The sequence below is a fragment of the Homo sapiens genome, chromosome 1, assembly GCF_000001405.40.
Source record: "Homo sapiens chromosome 1, GRCh38.p14 Primary Assembly".
Lineage (NCBI taxonomy): Eukaryota > Metazoa > Chordata > Mammalia > Primates > Hominidae > Homo > Homo sapiens.
Genome location: NC_000001.11, coordinates 147,649,245 through 147,668,270, shown reverse-complemented (window position 1 = coordinate 147,668,270; position 19,026 = coordinate 147,649,245). Strand labels below are relative to the sequence as shown.

The 19,026-nt window shown below is 42.9% G+C and overlaps 1 protein-coding gene across 7 annotated transcripts in view; it reads left to right on the top strand.

The window, feature by feature from the left end:
• ACP6 (acid phosphatase 6, lysophosphatidic) overlaps positions 1 to 19,026 on the top strand; it is a 40,867-nt gene that overhangs the window by 2,254 nt on the left and 19,587 nt on the right. For 3 of the 7 annotated variants that reach the window (NR_136635.2, NR_136633.2, NR_136636.2), the window contains exons 2-8: positions 8,496 to 8,624; positions 8,745 to 8,875; positions 9,232 to 9,311; positions 13,023 to 13,110; positions 13,945 to 14,077; positions 15,624 to 15,679; positions 18,033 to 18,128. Coding sequence is in view for 3 of the 7 variants with exons in the window: in XM_011509601.4 (XP_011507903.1) it covers positions 8,496 to 8,624; positions 8,745 to 8,875; positions 9,232 to 9,311; positions 13,023 to 13,110; positions 13,945 to 14,077; positions 15,722 to 15,822; positions 18,033 to 18,128 (758 nt within the window). In the remaining 4 variants the exon portion in view is untranslated. Of the gene's footprint in view, positions 1 to 8,495; positions 8,625 to 8,744; positions 8,876 to 9,231; positions 9,312 to 11,598; positions 11,654 to 13,022; positions 13,111 to 13,944; positions 14,078 to 15,623; positions 15,680 to 15,721; positions 15,823 to 18,032; positions 18,129 to 19,026 lie in introns of all 7 variants that reach the window. The other 4 variants (XM_011509601.4, NM_016361.5, NM_001323625.2 and 1 more) reach the window with 2 other exon arrangements.

Below are 19,026 nucleotides of genomic sequence, written 5' to 3'. Positions count from 1 at the left end.
GCCACAAAATAGCATCTGAATCCATGGCCTGACTTTGCAATTAGAGAAGGCATATTACCTCTCCTTTCTGCTCATATTCTCCAGACTTTAGACAGATGCTTTAAACGTCTTCGGCTCTCTAGTATAAAGTTGTGTGCATGAAAATCAGGGGTGAACCAACTCTCTTTCAATTTAGGCTATGAGCAAATATTAGCCTCTTAAAACTTGTTTCTGGATAGTCTCTGTCCAGTGTTCATTTCAAGATCCAATTTGATAGAGGTTGTTATTGGGATTTTTTTTTTTGAGACAGAATCTTGTTCTGTTGCAAGGCTGGAGTGCAGTGACGCGATCTCGGCTCACCGCAACCTCCGCCTCTCGGGTTTAAGCAATTCTCTTGCCTCAGCCTCCCGAGTAGCTGAGACTATAGGTGCACACCACCAGGCCCGACTAATTTTTGTATTTTTACTAGAGACGAGGTTTCATCATGTTGGCCAGGATGGTCTCGATATCTTGATCTCATGATCCGCCTGCTTCAAGTCTCCCAAAGTGCTGGGATTACAGGCGTGAGCCAGCACCCGGCCGTTATTGGGATTTTTTAATCTTCTTGGTTCTGCTATTAATTATAGTCAGAAGGGACTGCCTGGCAAAAATTTTTTGTCTTTGGTACATGTTTCCTGATTTCTGACTGGTTTATAGATTAATATATGTGACAAGTCACTTCATTCAGCCATCTCACAAATTCTCAGAAAGTAGCATGATTTAAAACTAGATGTTTTGGCTGGGTGTGGTGGCTCATGCCTGTAATCCCAGCACTTTGGGAGGCTGAGGCAGGTGGATCAAGAGGTCAGGAGTTCGAGATCAGCCCGGCCAAAATGGTGAAACCCCATCTCTACTAAAAATACAAAAATTAGCCCGGTGTGGTGGTGGGCGCCTGTAATCCCAGCTACTCGGGAGGCTGAGGCAGGAGAATTGCTTGAACCCGGGAGGCGGAGGTTGCAGTGAGCCAAGATTGGGTCACTGCACTCTACCCTGGGTGATAGAGCAAGACTCCATCTCAAAAACAAAAACAAAAAACTAGTGTTTTATTGGGTTGTTTTCTTATGGCTTGAATGGCTGTTGGTTTAACCTGTTTTGCTAAAAGATTGTGCTTTGGAAATAAAAATATAGAACTTGATTGGCCATTTTTTTTCCTGATCATTAGAGCAGATCCAAATGCACTATCAAAAGAAAAGATTTGGCACTGCTTCCAGGCTTCCCTCAACTCCCCTGGGTGTCAAGATGGCCTCCACCCAGGGAGATTCCTCAGTTTTTATAAAATAAAGTCCAACCTACCCCAGCTTCACTGTTGATTAAGACATTTGGGTCCCTATTTATTTGACAATATAGATGAGCTGGGAAGCATAATGTAAGAATCTTTTATTGCTTAGTACCTTTCCAAAACTCAGCTAAAAGAAGCGGTATTCAAGAAGCATTACATGAGGTCCACCCATTCTTCAGGATCGATGGTTCTTAACCGTGGTGAACATTGGAGTCAACTGGAAAGCTTTAAAAAATACACATGCCAGGGTCTCCCTCCGAAGGATTCTAATTTAATTGGTCCGGGGTATCCAGATAATGTAAAAGACTCTCTGGTGAAGCTTGAGAATTATCTGGACTGAAGAGCATTAAAAAAGTGGAGGCCCCACTTTTTTGGGGGATAATCCAAATGCGGTTATCCCAGGTTGGGACTCAGGCATCAGTAACTTTTAAAAAATGTCCTGGTAATACCAGTATACAGACAAGGTTTAATATGATTGCTTTATTTTAAAATCTACACCTGGGAGGTTTTTGTTTACTTTTATGTAGATTTGTTCTTTTACCTGGAATGTAGTATATCAATCCCAGTACAGAATTGCCTTCGCTGAAATGTGCTTTGGTAAGAGGTTATCTTTCTGTGTTGAGAGAACTAGGAGAAACAATCCCACAGAACTCATTGCTGTGACTGCTGAAAAGATGTTCATTATATTACTCTATCCTCTTTATGAGGACCCTTGGGAGGAATTTGTCTGTTAGCATTAGGAATGGTGTGCTTCTCCTGAACAATTGGCTTGCTTTTTTCTTTAAACTAGTCTAGCTGATCAAGTTTGTTTCTTTATGTAAAAGTCAGGAAGCTGGGTGCCAAGTCTGTGGCCCACCTATAGTAAGTAAACAGATCTTCATGGTGTACATATTTTAGTAACCGTGTTACTGCATCCATTTCTTTGTCCCTACATTTGTTTGCTTTTGTCTTTCTTGCCTACTTTGAATTGGTTGTCTTACTATATTTTAATTTTTGCTATATCTACTTTATTACCCCTTGAAGAGGGGTATACACAAAATAAGTAAAATTATCAAGTTAGTCTTTGCCACTAACTGGGAAGCTTAAGAGCAGGAATGAGAATGAGAGTGTGTATGTGGGGTGGACACTATTATATGAAACTGATGTATCATCCATTCTTGAAAATCTGAAAACTGTACTTTAGACTTGACGTGACCTGGACTCCAGACTCCTAGGAGACGCCAAGGGTCCTCTCTTGGTGAATGTGCCTAACAGATTTCTTAGTGAGGCTGAATGGCCCTGTGGAGCTTTGTGTCAGGCCCTGTGGTGGACACTGGAACTACAAGGATGGATAATTCAGTCTTGCCTTTAAAGGAGTTTCAATGTGATAAAGCAGAGACAACAGATATCAATTAAGGCAATATGCTGGGAGCACTGGGAACACAAAGGAGGTGTCTCCAAATGTCCAAAACTGAAATCAGCTTTCCACCTGTTTTTCTGTCTTGGTCTTAGTTTTAGTCAAGGAATATCTCCATTACAAGGCTCAAAAATCAAAGTAGTCTCTTTTTTGTTCTTCTGTGTTTACCTACCAACACAGTCCCCACATAAAGCTTTTATTTACTCACTTGCCAAGTCTAACTCAAATGTCTTACATCTACCTCCTCTATTGTTAACTGGCTTAGATGAGGCCTTAGGCTCTCATGTGGACTATTGCTAACATCTCAAAATGGGCTTTTCTGCATCTAGTCTTCCCATTCCAATTGTGATGTATGCTGCCAGGTTTCAGATTTATTCTGTGGAGCCTGTGGGCTAAGAGGATGTTGAGCGGCTGGGGCTGTGGGATTCCCTCCTACTTCAACTAGAGAAATTCGAGTTTTTGCCTTTATACATACAAATCTAAAGTTAAACTTTATGTGGTATTTTCTGATTTAAAAATTGGAAAACCATTCCCAGGTTGAGGCAAACCAAACCACTTCTTTGCCATACACATTCTTTACCATCTCTGCTTTGCGCAAGCTTTCTAGTTATTTTTGGAATTCTGAATGTCACCCTTTATAAGTACAGGTATTTGCTTGTCTAAATACTATTCATTTAAAATGCTATTCCCTCAATGAAACTTCTCCTGAATCCCCAGCCAGAAGAGAAGGTCTGTCTTGCCTTTGAACTGCTATGGCCTTCATATGGTTTCTTGCAGCACATGTCAGCTTCTATTATGGTATTGCTGTCATTTACATTCACAGCTGGCCTTTTTTCTTTACTAACTTGAACACCCAGGAAAGGCAGGGTCAAGTTTTCTCAAGATGGGTATCTTCCACAGGAGCTGGCAAATTGTTGGAGCTATTAATTGTACCTACTGTGTGTGAGGCCCTTTGCTGGGAAACAGAAGTCAATAGATGACCGAGTCTCTGTTCTCAGGAAGCCAGGACAGACCAGTAAAGGAGCTCGTTTAATACACTTTGGTAAAGGCTACTAAAGAGAGCCACTGAAGCTACTGTGAAAGCATAAGGCCATGACCAAGGTTTCTGGGAACACTTAAGCTAAGTCTTAAGGAATGAACAAAAGTCTTTCTAAATGAATGAGGAGAGAAAATTCCAGGCATAAGAAACATGATACTGAAAGGCCATGAAATATGAGAAAGGAAAGGAAGTTGCGTGGCTAGTGAGTAAGTATGTAGAATAGGGAAGAAGTGGTAAGGGGGCTGCTAGAGAGGAGGTGGGGCCACATGAGCCATGAACCCTCGAAGGGTTTTTTTTATCCAGAGGGGTTAGAGGGTCAGAAAGAGGGAGCAGTGATTAACTGTGAAAGAAGGAAGAAGGCCTCTCTGTGAACACCTGGTCCTCTGATGTGTCAGAAGGAGGTTCAGGTGTTGGAGACCAGGTGCCAGTGGGACTGACACATGCCTTTGGGAAGAATGGAGGGCTCCCTAGATGCCAAGAGAATCTGAGGCTCCCAGTACCATTCTCCTGGGATAGTTCGGGGAGGGTAGAAGATAAATATGACGATATGTGACATAGTAGGTTTCCAAATGTTAGTTTTAAAACTAAACAAAGTAGTAGGAAATTGAGTTAAATTTTTTTTGTTATCAATGTTATAGGAATTCAGATTTAAAAGATAACCATCAAAAGCCAGAGTGGTCAGTGATAGGGAAGTAAGACTTGAGCTATCCTTGAACATTGAAGACAAGGTGATGGGCAGATAGGAACAGGAGTCCCTCCAAGCAAGAGAAGCAAGCTGGAAGAAGATGCAGAAACAGTGGGCAGGTTCTAGGTTGGAGGGGAGGAAAGAGGCAGTGAAGCTGAGTACAGGGGCTGGACAAAGGGGGTAGAAGTCCTTTTTTAAAATTTTTTTAAGAGATGGGGTCTTGCTGTGTTGCCCAGGCTGATCTTGAACTCCTGGCCTCAAGTGATGCTCCCACCTCAGCCTCCCAAAGTGCTAGGATTACAGGTATGAGCCACTGCACTCAGCCACGATGTAGAAGTTCTTGAAGGACAGATGCTTTCCTCTGAGACATTAGGAAAAAGTTACTGATATGATGACACTGGCTTAGCAAGATTAATTAGGTGATTTTGAAACATACAATGCATTATTATTTATTGTAGTCACCATCCTGTACAATAGATCACTAAAGCTTATTCTTCCTGTGTAACTGAAATTTTGTACCCATTGATAAAAATCTCTCTTTCCCCATTTACTGCACCCCCCCACCTCTGATAACCATCACTCTACTCTCTAATTCTGTGACTTTGACTTCTTTAGATTCTACACAGACAAGCATACCTTGAAGATATTGCAGATTCAGGTCTAGACCACCACAATAAAGCAAATATCGCAATAAAGTGAGACCCACAGTTGTTTTTTGTTTCCCAGTGCATATAAAAGTTGTGTTTACACTCTTCTGTATCCTATCATGCAATAGCATGTCTAAAAATGTACATACCTTAATTTAAAAATGTTTTATTCCTAAAAAGTGCTAGTGATTACCTGAGCCTTCAGTGAGTCATGATCTTTTTGCCAGTGGAGGGTCTTGCCTTGATGTTGATGGCTGCTGACTGATCAGGGTAGTAGTTGCTAAAGGTTGGGGTGGCTGTGGCAATTTCTAAAAATAAGACAACAGTAAAGTTTGCCACATTGATAGACTCTTCCTTTCATGAAAGATTTCTCTGTAGCTTATGACACAGTTTAATAGCATTTTACCCACAATAGAACATCTTTTGAAATTGGAGTCAATCTTCTCAAACTCTGCCACTGCTTTATCAATTAAGTTTATGTAATAAATCCATTGTTGTAATTTCAACAGTGTTCACACTATCTTCACCAGGACTAGATTCCCTCTCAAGGAACCACTTCTTTGTAGTAACTTCTCATGCATTCAAGTTTTATCATGAGATTGCAGCAATTCAGTCAGAACTTAAGGTTCCACATCTAATTCTAGTTCTCTTGCTATTTCCATCACATCTGCAGTTACTTCTTCCACGGAAGCCTGAATCTTCAAAGTCATCCATGAGGGTTGGAGTCAAATCTTCCAAACTTCGCTTAATGTTGCTATTTTGACCTCCTCCTTATAAATGTTCTTAATGACATCTAGAATGGTGAATTCTTTCCATAAGGTTTTCAATTTACTTTGCCCAGATTCATCAGAGGAATCACTATCTAGGGCAACAATAGCCTTACAAAATGTATTTCTTAAATAATAAAGACTTGAAAGTCAAAATTACTCCTTGGGCCATGGGCTGCAGAAAGGACATTGTGTTAGCAGGCACAAAAACAATATTAATTTTGTACATCTCCATTAGCGCCTTTGGGTGACTAGGTGCATTGTCAATGAGCAGTAATATTTGGAAAGGAATCAATTTTTTCTTTTGAGCAGTAGGTCTCAACAGTGGGCTTAAAATATTAAGTAGACCATGCTGTAAACAGATGTCCTGCCATGCAGGCTTTGTTGTTCCATTTATACAGCACAGTCAGAGTACATTTAGCATAATTCTTAAGGGCTGTAGGATTTGCAGAATAGTAAATGAGCCTTGGCTTCACCTTAAGGAAACCAGCTGCATTAATCCCTAATGAGAATCAGCCTGTCCTTTGAAGCTTTGAAGCCAGGCATTGACTTTCTCTCTAGCTATGAAAGTCTTAGCTGGGATCTTCTTCCTATATAGGCTGTTTCTTCTGCATTGAATATCTCCATGTTATCAATAAGGTTGTTTCACTTTCTCATTGTTTGTGTGTTCACCAGAGTAGTACTTTTAATTTCCTCCAAGAACTTTTCCTTTGCATTCATAACTTGGCTGTTTGGTGCAAGAGGCATAGGTTTTGGCTTATCTTAGCTTTCTACATGCCTTCCTTACTAAGCTTAATCATTTCTAGCTTTGGATTTAAAGTGAGAAACTTGAAACTTTTCCTTTCACTTAACACTTAGAGGCCATTGTAGGGTTATTAACTGGACTAATTTTAATATTGTTGTGTCTCAGGAAATAAGGAGGCTCAAGGAGAGGGAGAGAGATGGGGGAAATACCAGTCAGCAGAGCACTCAGAAAACACACAACATTTATTGATTAAGTTTGGCATCTTATATGGGGGCGGTTTGTGGCGCTCCCAAATAGTTAAAATAGTAACATCAAAGATCACAGAGTTCAGGATCAGCCTGGGAAACATGGCAAAACCCTGTCTCTCAAAAAAAAAAAATTAGCTGGGCATGATGGTATATGCCTGTAGTCCCAGCTGCTCGGGAGGCTGAGGTGAGAGGATGAGCCAAGGTAATGCCACTGCACTCCAGGAGGCAGACGTTTCAGTGAGCCAAGATCATGCCACTGTACTCCAGCCTGGGCAACAGAGCCAGACCCCATTTCAAAAAGAAAAACAAATCATAAATCATAGATCACCTTGACAGATTTAATAGTAATGAAAAAGTTTGGAATATTATGAGAATTACCAGATTTTACACAGAGACATGAATGAGCACATGCTGTTGGAAAAATGGCACTGATAGACTTGCTCAATGCAGAGTTCTCCAAACCTTCAATTTGTGAAAAATGCAATCTCTGTAAAGAGCAATAAAATGATGTATGCCTATGTTACTAAAAGGTTAACTTTACATATTTTCATCACGTAAAAATGAAAGTATGTGAGCTGATGGATTTTGTTTACATTAGTTAATCATATATCAAATGTAAATATATATGAAAACATCACATTGTACTCCATAAATATATACAATATACAATTATTTGTCAATTAAAAATAAAACAAAATATTTAAATGCAATAAAAATATTTTTTCCAAAAAGATTAATTAGTTGGCTATGGATAGATGGATTGTGCAGGTGAAAGGGAGGAGTTTGTCACAGGCACTAATAAGGTTTACATTCTACAATAAGATAATGGAAGGACCATTGGGAGGGACTTTTCTTCTAGGCAGTGATCAACAGGGCTTGGTGTGGGGATAGTGGATCCACAGGGAGCCAAAGGTTTGAGGTTTGGGGCCTAGGAGAACTGTGGTAACATTGAGAGGGACATAGTAGATTGGGAAGGGGAACTGGTCTATGGGATTAGACTTGTTTTTAAAATTGAAGTATTCACATCTGACTCAATGAGTGTCAGAGTTTTATGAACAGTTGGAGCTATGAGACCTGTGGCCACTAGTGATGTTTTGAAATCATTACAGCACAGTTGGGGCAGGAGCCAGATTGCAAGGAATAATGGAAGATGATGAAAAAGCAACATCTTCTGAGATGGCAGCTGCTTGTTTCACGAATTGCATGAAAGGAGGAAAAAAGTATATTAGTTACAAGGGACATTAAGTAGAATCCTTAAGCTGGGATAGGGCATATAAACCTCCAGATTAATTCCTTATAAATTCTTACATATGGTCACTGACATCTTATTTCTTTCATCCATCTATTCGTTCATTCACCACGTATCCGCATGCCAGGCATTCTGGTCACTTCTCCCCTTTACTTCAGTGTGGGCTAAGTGCCAGAGCAGCCCCTTAGCAGTCATTACTAGTGTAGCAATAACAGGACATAGGCTAAGGACACCTGGAATAATAAATCACCATCTTTTCTTCCCTTAATTTTAGCTAACATTTCTTTCCTTCCATCCCATAGGAAGGTTGCAGGCCTAGTGTCAGTGATTCCAGCCATGTGTTCTGAGTGCTTGAGATGTTAATGCTATACATTTCAAGAACCATTTTTAAACAATGTGGTGTGTTTTTTTTGTACTAACAGGTAGAGTGGAACCCCCAGCTATTAGAGGTCCCACCCCAAACTCAGTTTGATTACACAGTCACCAATCTAGCTGGTGGTCCGAAACCATATTCTCCTTACGACTCTCAATACCATGAGACCACCCTGAAGGTGAGCAATGCTTCCTTGCTCTGGGGAGCCCCACTGCAAAGGTTGGGTTGTTTTCTCTGGGCTGAGTTCAGCAGGCTGTCAGGTGTTTTCATTCTTCTTTCTCTTTCTTCCCTACTTTAGGGGGGCATGTTTGCTGGGCAGCTGACCAAGGTGGGCATGCAGCAAATGTTTGCCTTGGGAGAGAGACTGAGGAAGAACTATGTGGAAGACATTCCCTTTCTTTCACCAACCTTCAACCCACAGGAGGTCTTGTGAGTCACTTGAAAGGGGATGTTGCACTTAATTTAAGGTCTTGAACATGAGGATACCTGTCCTGACTCCCCAAGATGGTTCCCACTGTCACCCAAGGTAGTTTGGGGGACAACTTGTCATGCTGCATACCCTTATGTCACAGGATCTGGTGAACAGGTCGTTCCTGGAGGTCGCATTCATTGCACTTCGAGTCTCTCAGGGGCTGACATCCCACAGAAAAGTGAAGCATTCTTCCTAGTTCCATAGCTCTCCTTATGTACTCTTGAAAGACCCCTGGAGCGTATGTGGAATAAAATAGAGTGTATATAATTAAATATTCCTTTTATGAGTGTCACTATTTTCTCATTTTTTTCAGTATTCGTTCCACTAACATTTTTCGGAATCTGGAGTCCACCCGTTGTTTGCTGGCTGGGCTTTTCCAGTGTCAGAAAGAAGGTTCGTATTTGGGGTCCCAGTCAGTCCCTGTCCCTGAGGGGTCTTGCTTCTCACTTCCGAAGCCCCTATCTCTTTCTTGGTGCCTGTTCCCTTGACTTTTTTTCTCCTGCATGTGTGACTTCCAGTGTGTACCTAGTCCAGTGGGTCTTTCCCTGTCTGGCCTTATGGTGCCCCTGCCAGCCTGACCTCCACAGCAGCAGCAGTGTAGCAGCTGCTCTGATCTGCCTCTGGCTCCTGGCTTCTCCCCTCAAGCTTCTACACAAGCTGCACAAGGCAGTCCTAACCATGTTTTGTGAACAATCGAGGGGGCTTTTTATTTAGGTGAGACATTGCTGGAAAGGAAGGACACTGGGACCCAACACTGCTGCTACTGCCCTAATCTTGGTGATAATCCACAGCATGAACACTGTTCCGTCTAGCCTTTCCTAGTTGAGAAAGTCCATCGAGTTTGGGTTTTGATACATTCAGCCCCTGAATGGTTGCAGTCAGTGGTTCCCAACCTTTTCATCCCCAAGGACTGCATTAATTATTTTCCCTCATGGATCCCATGTGTTGAGAGCCTTTGGCCATCACATGAAGCTGCATTTTGTCATTTGTTATTGGCTCAAATTTACATTTAATTACTGGTCTGAGTTTCAGATCATCATGACCTTATTAAAAAGGTGCCAAAAAGCAAAGGTTCTTGTTACTTTGTTTAGCTTTTTGGCAGTATCTCAAATAGAAACAAAATTTCCATCACATTTTTTAAGAAATATGTAAAATAATGGAACCTTCAGGAAAGAGGAATCTGGTCTTGCCCTCAACTGGGTTGGATACTGCTGCTAGTTCTGGCTGTAGTTGGCTGCTGCACACAAACAGTACGTGTCTAGGTCACATAAAGCAGGATGGGCTGCCCCTTACTTCTTGGGAAGCCTTGAGTTTAGGAGTGATCCACAGCACCTGATCTTCTGAAAGCTCTCAACTGCTCAGCTTCTAAAAGGCAAAGATCTTCTCAGAAACATCAGAAGTGGTACTGAGAAGGAAAGATGTTTATTGGTGGCAACATTCTCTTTAGGCAGGTCCCAGACTGGGAATATCCCAGGTTTCCATCAGGGAAGGAAATCACTAGCCTCAGGTGCAGGTGTCTGGGTAGCAGCTCCCTGCGCTGGACCTACAGTTGTTGGGACTCCAGATTGGCTTCTTTTGTAGCTACTTCCATGCCTTTCCTATATGAAGGGACTTGAACAAAGAATCCCAGAAGGGGCCAGGCACAGTAGTTCACGCTTGTAATCCTAGCACTTTGGGAGGCTGAGGCGGGTGGATCATGAGATCAGGAGTTCAAGACCAGCCTGGCCAAGATGGTGAAACCCCATCTGTACTAAAAATACAAAAATTAGCCAGGCGTGGTGGTGGGCGCCTGTAATCCCAGCTATTCAGGAGGCTGAGGCAGGAGAATCGTTTGAACTCGGGAGGCGGAGGTTGCAGTGAGCCGAGATCGCACCACTGCACTCCAGCCTGGGTGACAGCGAGACTCCATCTCAAAAAACAAACAAACAAAAAAAGAATCCCAGAAGGTGGCACTGTTGATGGAAATGGTGCAACTTTGGGATATTGCTTTAGGAGTAAAATCCTAGAAAAATCCCAGTGGTTACGTATAGGCTACAGAGAATCAGGCTGTGGGGAAAGCTGGAGATTGTTGGTCTGCCCACTGGCCAAGTCATTTGCTCAATGTACATTTGTCTACTCAAGTGTGCCTTATTTATCATAAACTGGGTCCAAAATCCAGACACCAATATCAGACTCCAGATGGAAATATTAGAGGTTTATAATATTATTAGTGTTATAAGTTTAAGTCATAGTTATTCTAACACATAAAGGACTTAGTACAGTCATTCCACAGTATCCAAAAGGGATTGATTCCAGGACAACCCTCTCCCCGGGCAGATACCAAAATCTACAGATGCTCAAGTCCCTTTTATAAAATGGCATAGCTTTGCATATAACCTATGCCCATCCTCCCATGTACTTCAAATCATCTGTAGATGACATAATACCCAATACAATGTAAATGCTGTGTATTACCCTGTACTATTTTCTAATTTATGTTATTTTTATTGTGTTATTTTGTATTGTTCTTTTTTACTCAAATATTGTTAATCCATGGTTGATTGAATCCATAGATGTAGAATCCAAGGACATGGAGGACCAATTGTATGCAGCAAACTTTGTTCTAAGAACTTCGCATATATTAACTTGTTTAATTCTTGTAGTAACCCTATAAGATAGGTGTCATTATCCCCTTTTACAGATAAGAGAACCAAGACACAGAGAGGCTCAGTGACTTGCCCAGGGACACAAAACTGGTAAATGGTGGAATTAGGATTCAAACTCTGGCAGTCTTGGTTCAGAATCCTACTTTTTCCTTTTATGCTCAACTGTTTATTTGAGGACATGTATATCTGGAGGCGGCATCGGATCATTTGGTTTTTCCTTTTCACAACAAATCTTGCAGAACCCCAGGATTCTTCAGAGGGGTCTGAGGAAGCACAGAAAAGGAGGGGATGGGACATGCAAGTGGACTATGCTTTCGATCTCCACCTTGCAGCCATCAGCACCTCTTCTTTTATTATTATACTTTACATAATAGCCGTAGGTTGGAGGAGGTTCTGTGGCTGATATAGTCCTACCCCTTTGATTTACAGATGAACCCCAGAGAATGGTAGTGACTTCCCAGGGCGACTGCTGGTTAGTTCTGGACTGAAGACTAAACTCATGACTTTCAGTGTGGTTTCTTCTTCTGTCCAGACCAACGATGTGTGTGTGAATTCTGATATTCTAGTAAAGTTATAGGCTATTTTTAAAGCCCTTGGTTCTGACTATCAATAATTTGGGAATAAATACCCCTTTGGGACTTTGATTCAGCTGATCACTCTGTAGATGGACCTCAGTGAATCCCAAATTGCTGCTGGGGAGCTCCTTCTTTTGCCATCAGGCTTGAGCAGTGTGGAAAAAGAACCTACCACACAGAGATGGCACTTGCCATCTCTGACACAGAGCAAAGCATGGGAAGGCGTTAGGACACTTTCTTTGGGCATTGACGGGAGGGGACAATGGTACTGAGGGGGTCTGAATAGCAATGAGCTGCCATGAGATATATGAGAAACATTGTAGTTTCTTTGGTTAGATCTTTGGTTAGACCAGCAATTCATCTAAAAGCCTGGCTTTTTATTTTGGGCAAGGCTATGGGGTCTCTGAGAGGATCTGTGGCCTTGTGTCCACTTTTCTCAGTTTGTTATGTGATAAGTCACCATAGTGGCCTATAGGATCAGGCTTCAGGAAGCAACTTAGTTCTGATAACACTATTATTTATTAGAATGCCCAAATGCTGGTAGTGCTTTACAGCAGGGATTTTTTGGAAGGTGTCAGGGAGTTGCCAGTCTGTTTCAGGTCTATTACCTGCTCTAGTCTATTTGTGGCCCGATAGGAGGGCTTGCGCTAGACAGAACAAGGCTGCTGCCACTAACTTTTTTCATTGCTCAGATTATAGGAGAGCCTCCTTTGGCAGGGCCAGGGCATGTTGAAGGCATTTTCTGTCCTTAAGGAGTAACCTTGATGATCTGCCTCTCAGAGCAGATCTCTGCTCCATCTCTGTAGACAAAGAGAAGGGGGTGGAGATGCTGGGAAGAACAAGCTGAAGCCTCTGCCTGCCTGTGCTTCCTCCCTTTCTTCCAGGACCCATCATCATCCACACTGATGAAGCAGATTCAGAAGTCTTGTATCCCAACTACCAAAGCTGCTGGAGCCTGAGGCAGAGAACCAGGTAACTGCCCCTGGGTTCTTGCTCACCAGTTGGGGACAACCTTTTACAACCTTTGCTGGCAGAACTCTGTCTATACTGAGGGCCTGTCCAGGCTTACCCTACTGGCGAATAATGGATGGGAAGGTTTAAATTACACTTAAGTGTGACATCAGCTGTCTAGGAAGCGAAGAAGTCTTGTTCACAATGACAGACCCATGGTGAAGGCCAGGAATTCTGGGAAGAGCCGCACACTGGGCTAGCGAGATGATACATACAGCCACGAGTGGGCCTTTGCCATTTACAAAGTATGATCCTTCTGACAACCCCGGTCTCTCAGGTGGGGCAAATGAGAAAACCAACAGGTTAAATAAAAGATGATTGAGACTGTCTTTAACCGGCAAATCCAGTTGTACAAGCCCAACAAGACACAGATTTTTCTTCTCTTACCAATATGTTTCTATGTAAGATAGATCGGTTTGGGCTGATGACACTTTTCAGGTATCTCTAGGCTGCACTAAGACTATATGGTATTTATTCCGTAAAGAAAAGAAAATGCTGTTTTCAGACAGACCTGGGCCATGCTTGCATCATTTTTGATGCAATGCAAATGCTAGAGTGAGATTTGGAAAATTTCATCCTGTTATCCTAACCCTGGTACTTGCTAACTTAACGTTATAAGTCATTTGACCTTATAGAGCCTTAGTTTATTCATCTATAAAATTGGGATAATACCAGCTAACCCCATTGGGTTGTGGGGATTAAATGATATCCCAAATGATAACCCAAGTGTGAAGCACACTTTGTAAACTGTTAATCACTATAGAATATAAGGCTTTACTTTTTATTTTTTGTCAGAGGCCGGAGGCAGACTGCCTCTTTACAGCCAGGAATCTCAGAGGATTTGAAAAAGGTGAAGGACAGGATGGGCATTGACAGTAGTGATAAAGTGGACTTCTTCATCCTCCTGGACAACGTGGCTGCCGAGCAGGTGAGTCCTGGGGTTGGGGAGCCTGGGATAATAGCCTTGGTGGGCTGGCTCCGGAGTTAGAACCGGGTGGAGAGAAGTGGGTGGAGGCCTCCTGGTTTGAAGGCAACTGTGATAAGACCTACAGATAGAATGGGTGTGGGGACTGAGGGATAGGGAGCAATCGAGGAAGACTCCTTACCCAGGTAGGAACACAGACACTGAACTCTAGACCAGAGCTTCTTGAGGCATGTTCCCCAGAACACCCAATATGCAGTTTGTGTTTGGGCAGGCAGGGGCAATGGGTAGGGAGGGATGAGTAGGGTCTAAAAATTTTGGAATCCTTATTTATTGCATCACTTCTTGAGAGTACTATATGTACATCAGCATATTAAAAAAATCTGAGATGCCCTTCATAAAGAAAGCTGGTTAATCTTTAAATCTGTTTTCCTTAAGCTTATTTAGCCATAGGATCTTTTTTTCTGTAATAAATACATAAAGAAGACTAACAATGGGAAAGGTTTCTCTAGATTTAAAAGTTGGACATCCAAAGTTATATAGGATCCTCCCCACTCTTGTGAAAATAAAATGACTGTGTACCCTAAAGGCAGAAATGCACCTTGCTTTTATGTGTAAAATAGGTTTAAGGTTAGAAGGCAAGAGTTCATATCATGTATTTGTATGGCGTATTTTTTAGACTTCATTTTGGGAAAATGAAGATCAAGTAGGAATTTATGAATTCCTTGCTTTGTATTTTATTCATCTTTTTTTTTTAAGTTAAAAAATACAGGCCAGGCATGGCGGCTCATGCCTATAATCCCAGCACTTTGGGAGGCTGAGGTGGGAGGATCACAAGGTCAGGAGTTCGAGACCAGCCTGGCCAATATGGAGAAATCCTGTCTCTACTAAAAATACAAAATTTAGCCGGGTGTGGTGGTGCATGTCTGTAGTCCCAGCCACTCAGGAGGCTGAGGCAGAATACTTGCTTGAACCTGGGAGGCAGGGGTTGCAGTGAGCCGAGATCACGCCACTGCATTCCAACCTGGGTGACAGGGCAAGACTCCATCTCAAAAAAAAAAACCAGTAAAACAGGCCGGGCGCGGTGGCTCACACCTGTAATCCCAGCAATTTGGGAGGCCGAGAAGGGTGGATCACGAGGTCAGGAGATTGAGACCATCCTGGCTAACACGGTGAAACCCCGTCTCTACTAAAAATACAAAAAAATTAGCCGGGCGTGGTGGCGGGCACCTGTAGTCCCAGCTACTCAGGAGGCTGAGACAGGAAAATGGCGTGAACCCAGGAGGTGGAGCTTGCAGTGAGCCGAGATCGTGCCACTGCACTCCAGCCTGGGCGACAGAGCGGGACTCCGTCTCAAAAAAACCAAAAAAACAACAAAAATGCTTTTCATTTTTGAGTGGATGGGGAGTCATCAGAAAGGGAAGAAACCCTTTCTTTTTTTTTTTTCCTGGCCTTCAGGTATCTAGTAATAGCTTTGGAAGAGCTTTAGAGACATAGCTTCTTGACCTGTTAACAGACATAGCTGTTCTTGAGCCTGTCTTCTCTTCCCCAGGAGAAGATGGGCTCCTGCAGGTTCCATGGAAGCTGATCAGCTGCCAGAATCAGTAGGTAAGAAGCATTTTTTTCTAAAACTACATGTGGCCCTTTCAGGCACACAACCTCCCAAGCTGCCCCATGCTGAAGAGATTTGCAAGGATGATCGAACAGAGAGCTGTGGACACATCCTTGTACATACTGCCCAAGGAAGACAGGTGAGGGGCTCTCACTGCTGGCATGAAGTCACGCTTGGTCAGACATCCAAGTGTATGGGGAAGAGGAGTTCATCAGGCCCACTCACACCTGACAGCTGATGTCTCCTCGTGTAAGGAGGCTGAACCCCATTCTGCCCACCTACCAGTAGGCCCTAGGTCCTCGCACTTCTACAGCTGGGACTGGTGGCCTAGTGCTTCTGTTCCCTGTTATGCAGAACCAGGAGCCACCACCCTCATGACTTTATCACTTGCCTTTTCCTTTTGCTTTAAGGTTTAAAGGATTTGGGTGGGGGGAGCTGAAGAAAGAATATTCATTTCTGTCTTTAGTCATCATGTTACAATTTGCAAACCATTTTCACATTCTCACTGTGAGGTGAGAGAGATACCTTTCTCCCTGGCTTTATAGATAAAGAAACTGAGGCTGGGAGATATTGCCTACCTGGTCTAGGCCCAGCTAGCAAGTGATGGAGCCAGAACTTGGACCCAGATCCACTGACTGCCTATTCTGTGTTTTCGCTATATTACTAGCAGTTAGGGTTCTGTTTCCTGACTACCAGAATGGAAAGTTTTTCTCTCACCAAATTTCAGAAGACACCTTTTTTTCTGATTTGTTGAGAGCATTCAACTTGCACTAAAAATAGGTGACTTGATAGAGGAGGGGAGGTAGGAAGTAGCCCTGGGAAAGATGAGTAGGGGGGAAAGGCATCTAACAGTTCAAGAATTTGCACGGTTGGGTGCCCAAGGATAAGAGCCCCTGACTGCATTCCTTCCACTCAGGGTCAGTGTGTCCACTTCTGTGCAAGCCTAGGGCATCTAGAAGGTTCCTGCCAAGCCACACAGCTTGCTGCCACTCCCTGGGACTTGCCAGCTTCCCTTTTCTGCTTGTGAAGGGGTGCCACCATACCTAAATTGTTACTTACTTCCCTCTCCTTTATCAACACACACACACATATTTAGTAAATATTTTAAGCTGTCAGGATCATGCAATTTCTGTTACAACTACTCATCTCTGCCCTTGTAACATGAAGCAACCAAAGACAATATGCAAACAAATAGACATGGCTGTGTGCCAGTAAAATTTGTTTACCAAAACTGGTCAGATTTGGCCTATGGTATAGTTTGCTTTATTCTGGTGTAAATCATTTTAAACAGGACCTTGTCTATTCCATTCCAATTAGCCCTGGTTTTGTAAAACTAACATTTCTTCAAGGACAAATGGTTACAACCTCACAAGGCCATCCAACTTGGCTTTGCCTGTATACATTCTTCTGAAAAGTATGTGTTGCATACAGTGTTGGTTGCCTGCTCTTCATCCATTGCTGCAACATTCCTTGACTTATAAAGATGGTCATTTACCCAATCACCACAAATAAGGATTTGTCTAAGCCAATCATGGCAACCTTGTTTTCATTTGTCAGTGGCTGGGTTCTGGGAATTCTAGGAGGGGTGTTTTTTTCTCTTTGATAAAAAGTGAGAAGCACAAAAACAAGGAGAAGACCAGTCTCTGAAGTCTCCATGGAAGCTGATCAGCTGCTAGGATGAGTAGATGAGAAACATTTCTTTCTTCTATAGTAAGTGGACTTTGTTCACTACTGTGAGTGAACATGCTTTAAGCTGCAGTAGTCACCTGTGGCCATGATGTGACAGGCCTGAGAATGAAAGTGGTGGAGCCACACAGCCAAGCCTGGGAGCACGACCACTGAACTTCTTCTGTAAAATAAATAAGACATAAATAAGAAATGTCTTTATGGCCCAAACTCCAAAAGAAGGAAGGCTGGCACATAGGAAACAAAATTAAGGATGTTCTTGTTCCTTCTGATTATTTTTCTAAGGGCCTTCTAGAATTCCTGGAAATTATTACCCCTTCTTCTTCCCAGCTTGTCAGCTTTGTTCTTTGATTCCCCAAGGCCTAGTTGGTCACGGCTTATCCAGGTTACCACTCTCCTGCTCCCTCAGCCCCTCCCATCTCAGTTGTGTTCACAACAGGTCTGTGTGCTGGTGCCTGTGTTGTTGGGAGTCTTCATTCACAGAGGACCCCAAGACCGGACTCGGTGCCATTTCTCTCCTTCTGGCCCGTTGCTGGCCCTTATGCATTACTTGCCTTTTTCTCAGCTCTGTCTGGACTCATGAGGTCCTGGGGGCAGAATCAGTCTGTGTCCCCTGAATGCTGAGTGCCCTCTAGGTGCTTAAATGTTGTTCACTTTTCACAGGGAAAGTCTTCAGATGGCAGTAGGCCCATTCCTCCACATCCTAGAGAGCAACCTGCTGAAAGCCATGGACTCTGCCACTGCCCCCGACAAGATCAGGTACCTGGCACAGCAACTCTGCTTTGTGCAGCTAAGGGCCGTGGGAACTTCTGGCTGTAGGGAGGGAACCCAAATCTTAGTGAGGCAAGAACCAGGCTGTCAGTGACCGAAGGTAGATGTTTAACAGGCCTCAAGTGTCAAAGAGGTTCACAATCTTTTAACCTTTCTTCCTGCTGCACCCCTCCTACCATGTTTTGAAAATTTTATTTTTGCTTTCTCTCTCTCTTTTTTTTATTAATTGAAGATATGTCAAACAGTAGCCAATTATGATGTCACACTGATTTGATATGATAATAGTCCAAAACAAAGATAAATTGCTTAATGGATTGTGTAGTTTGAACCACTTTCATTGAGTGTAAAGAAGGTATGATATCCATAAGGCATTTAAAAATATTGGAAGTGGCCAGGTGCAGTGGCTCACGCCTGTAATCCCAGCACTTTGGGAGGCCAAGGTGAGTGGATCACGAGGTCAGGAGATTGAAAACATCCTGGCCAACATGGTGAAACCCTGCTCTACTAAAAATACAAAAATTATCCGGGCATGGTGGCACGCACCTTTAGTCTCAGCTACTCGGGAGGTTGAGTCAGGAGAGTTGCTTGAACCCAGGAGGCGGAGGTTGCAGTTAGCCAAGATCACACCACTGTACTCCAGCCTGGTGACAGAGCCAGGCTCTGTCTCAAAAAAAAAAAATGTTGGAAGTAGCTCATGAGCCTCCATTGCCACTTTTGGAGCCTTGAATCCAAGGTTGGGACTACGGCTGTGGAATATTATGTGTCCTAGGCACTTGCTAAGTGCGTTCTGCAGGAAAACAGCTTCACCGTTGCCCAAGAACTCATCAGGTTCTCAGGCTCCAGCCTGATCTACTAAATCAGCATCTGCAGTTTAACAAGATCCCCA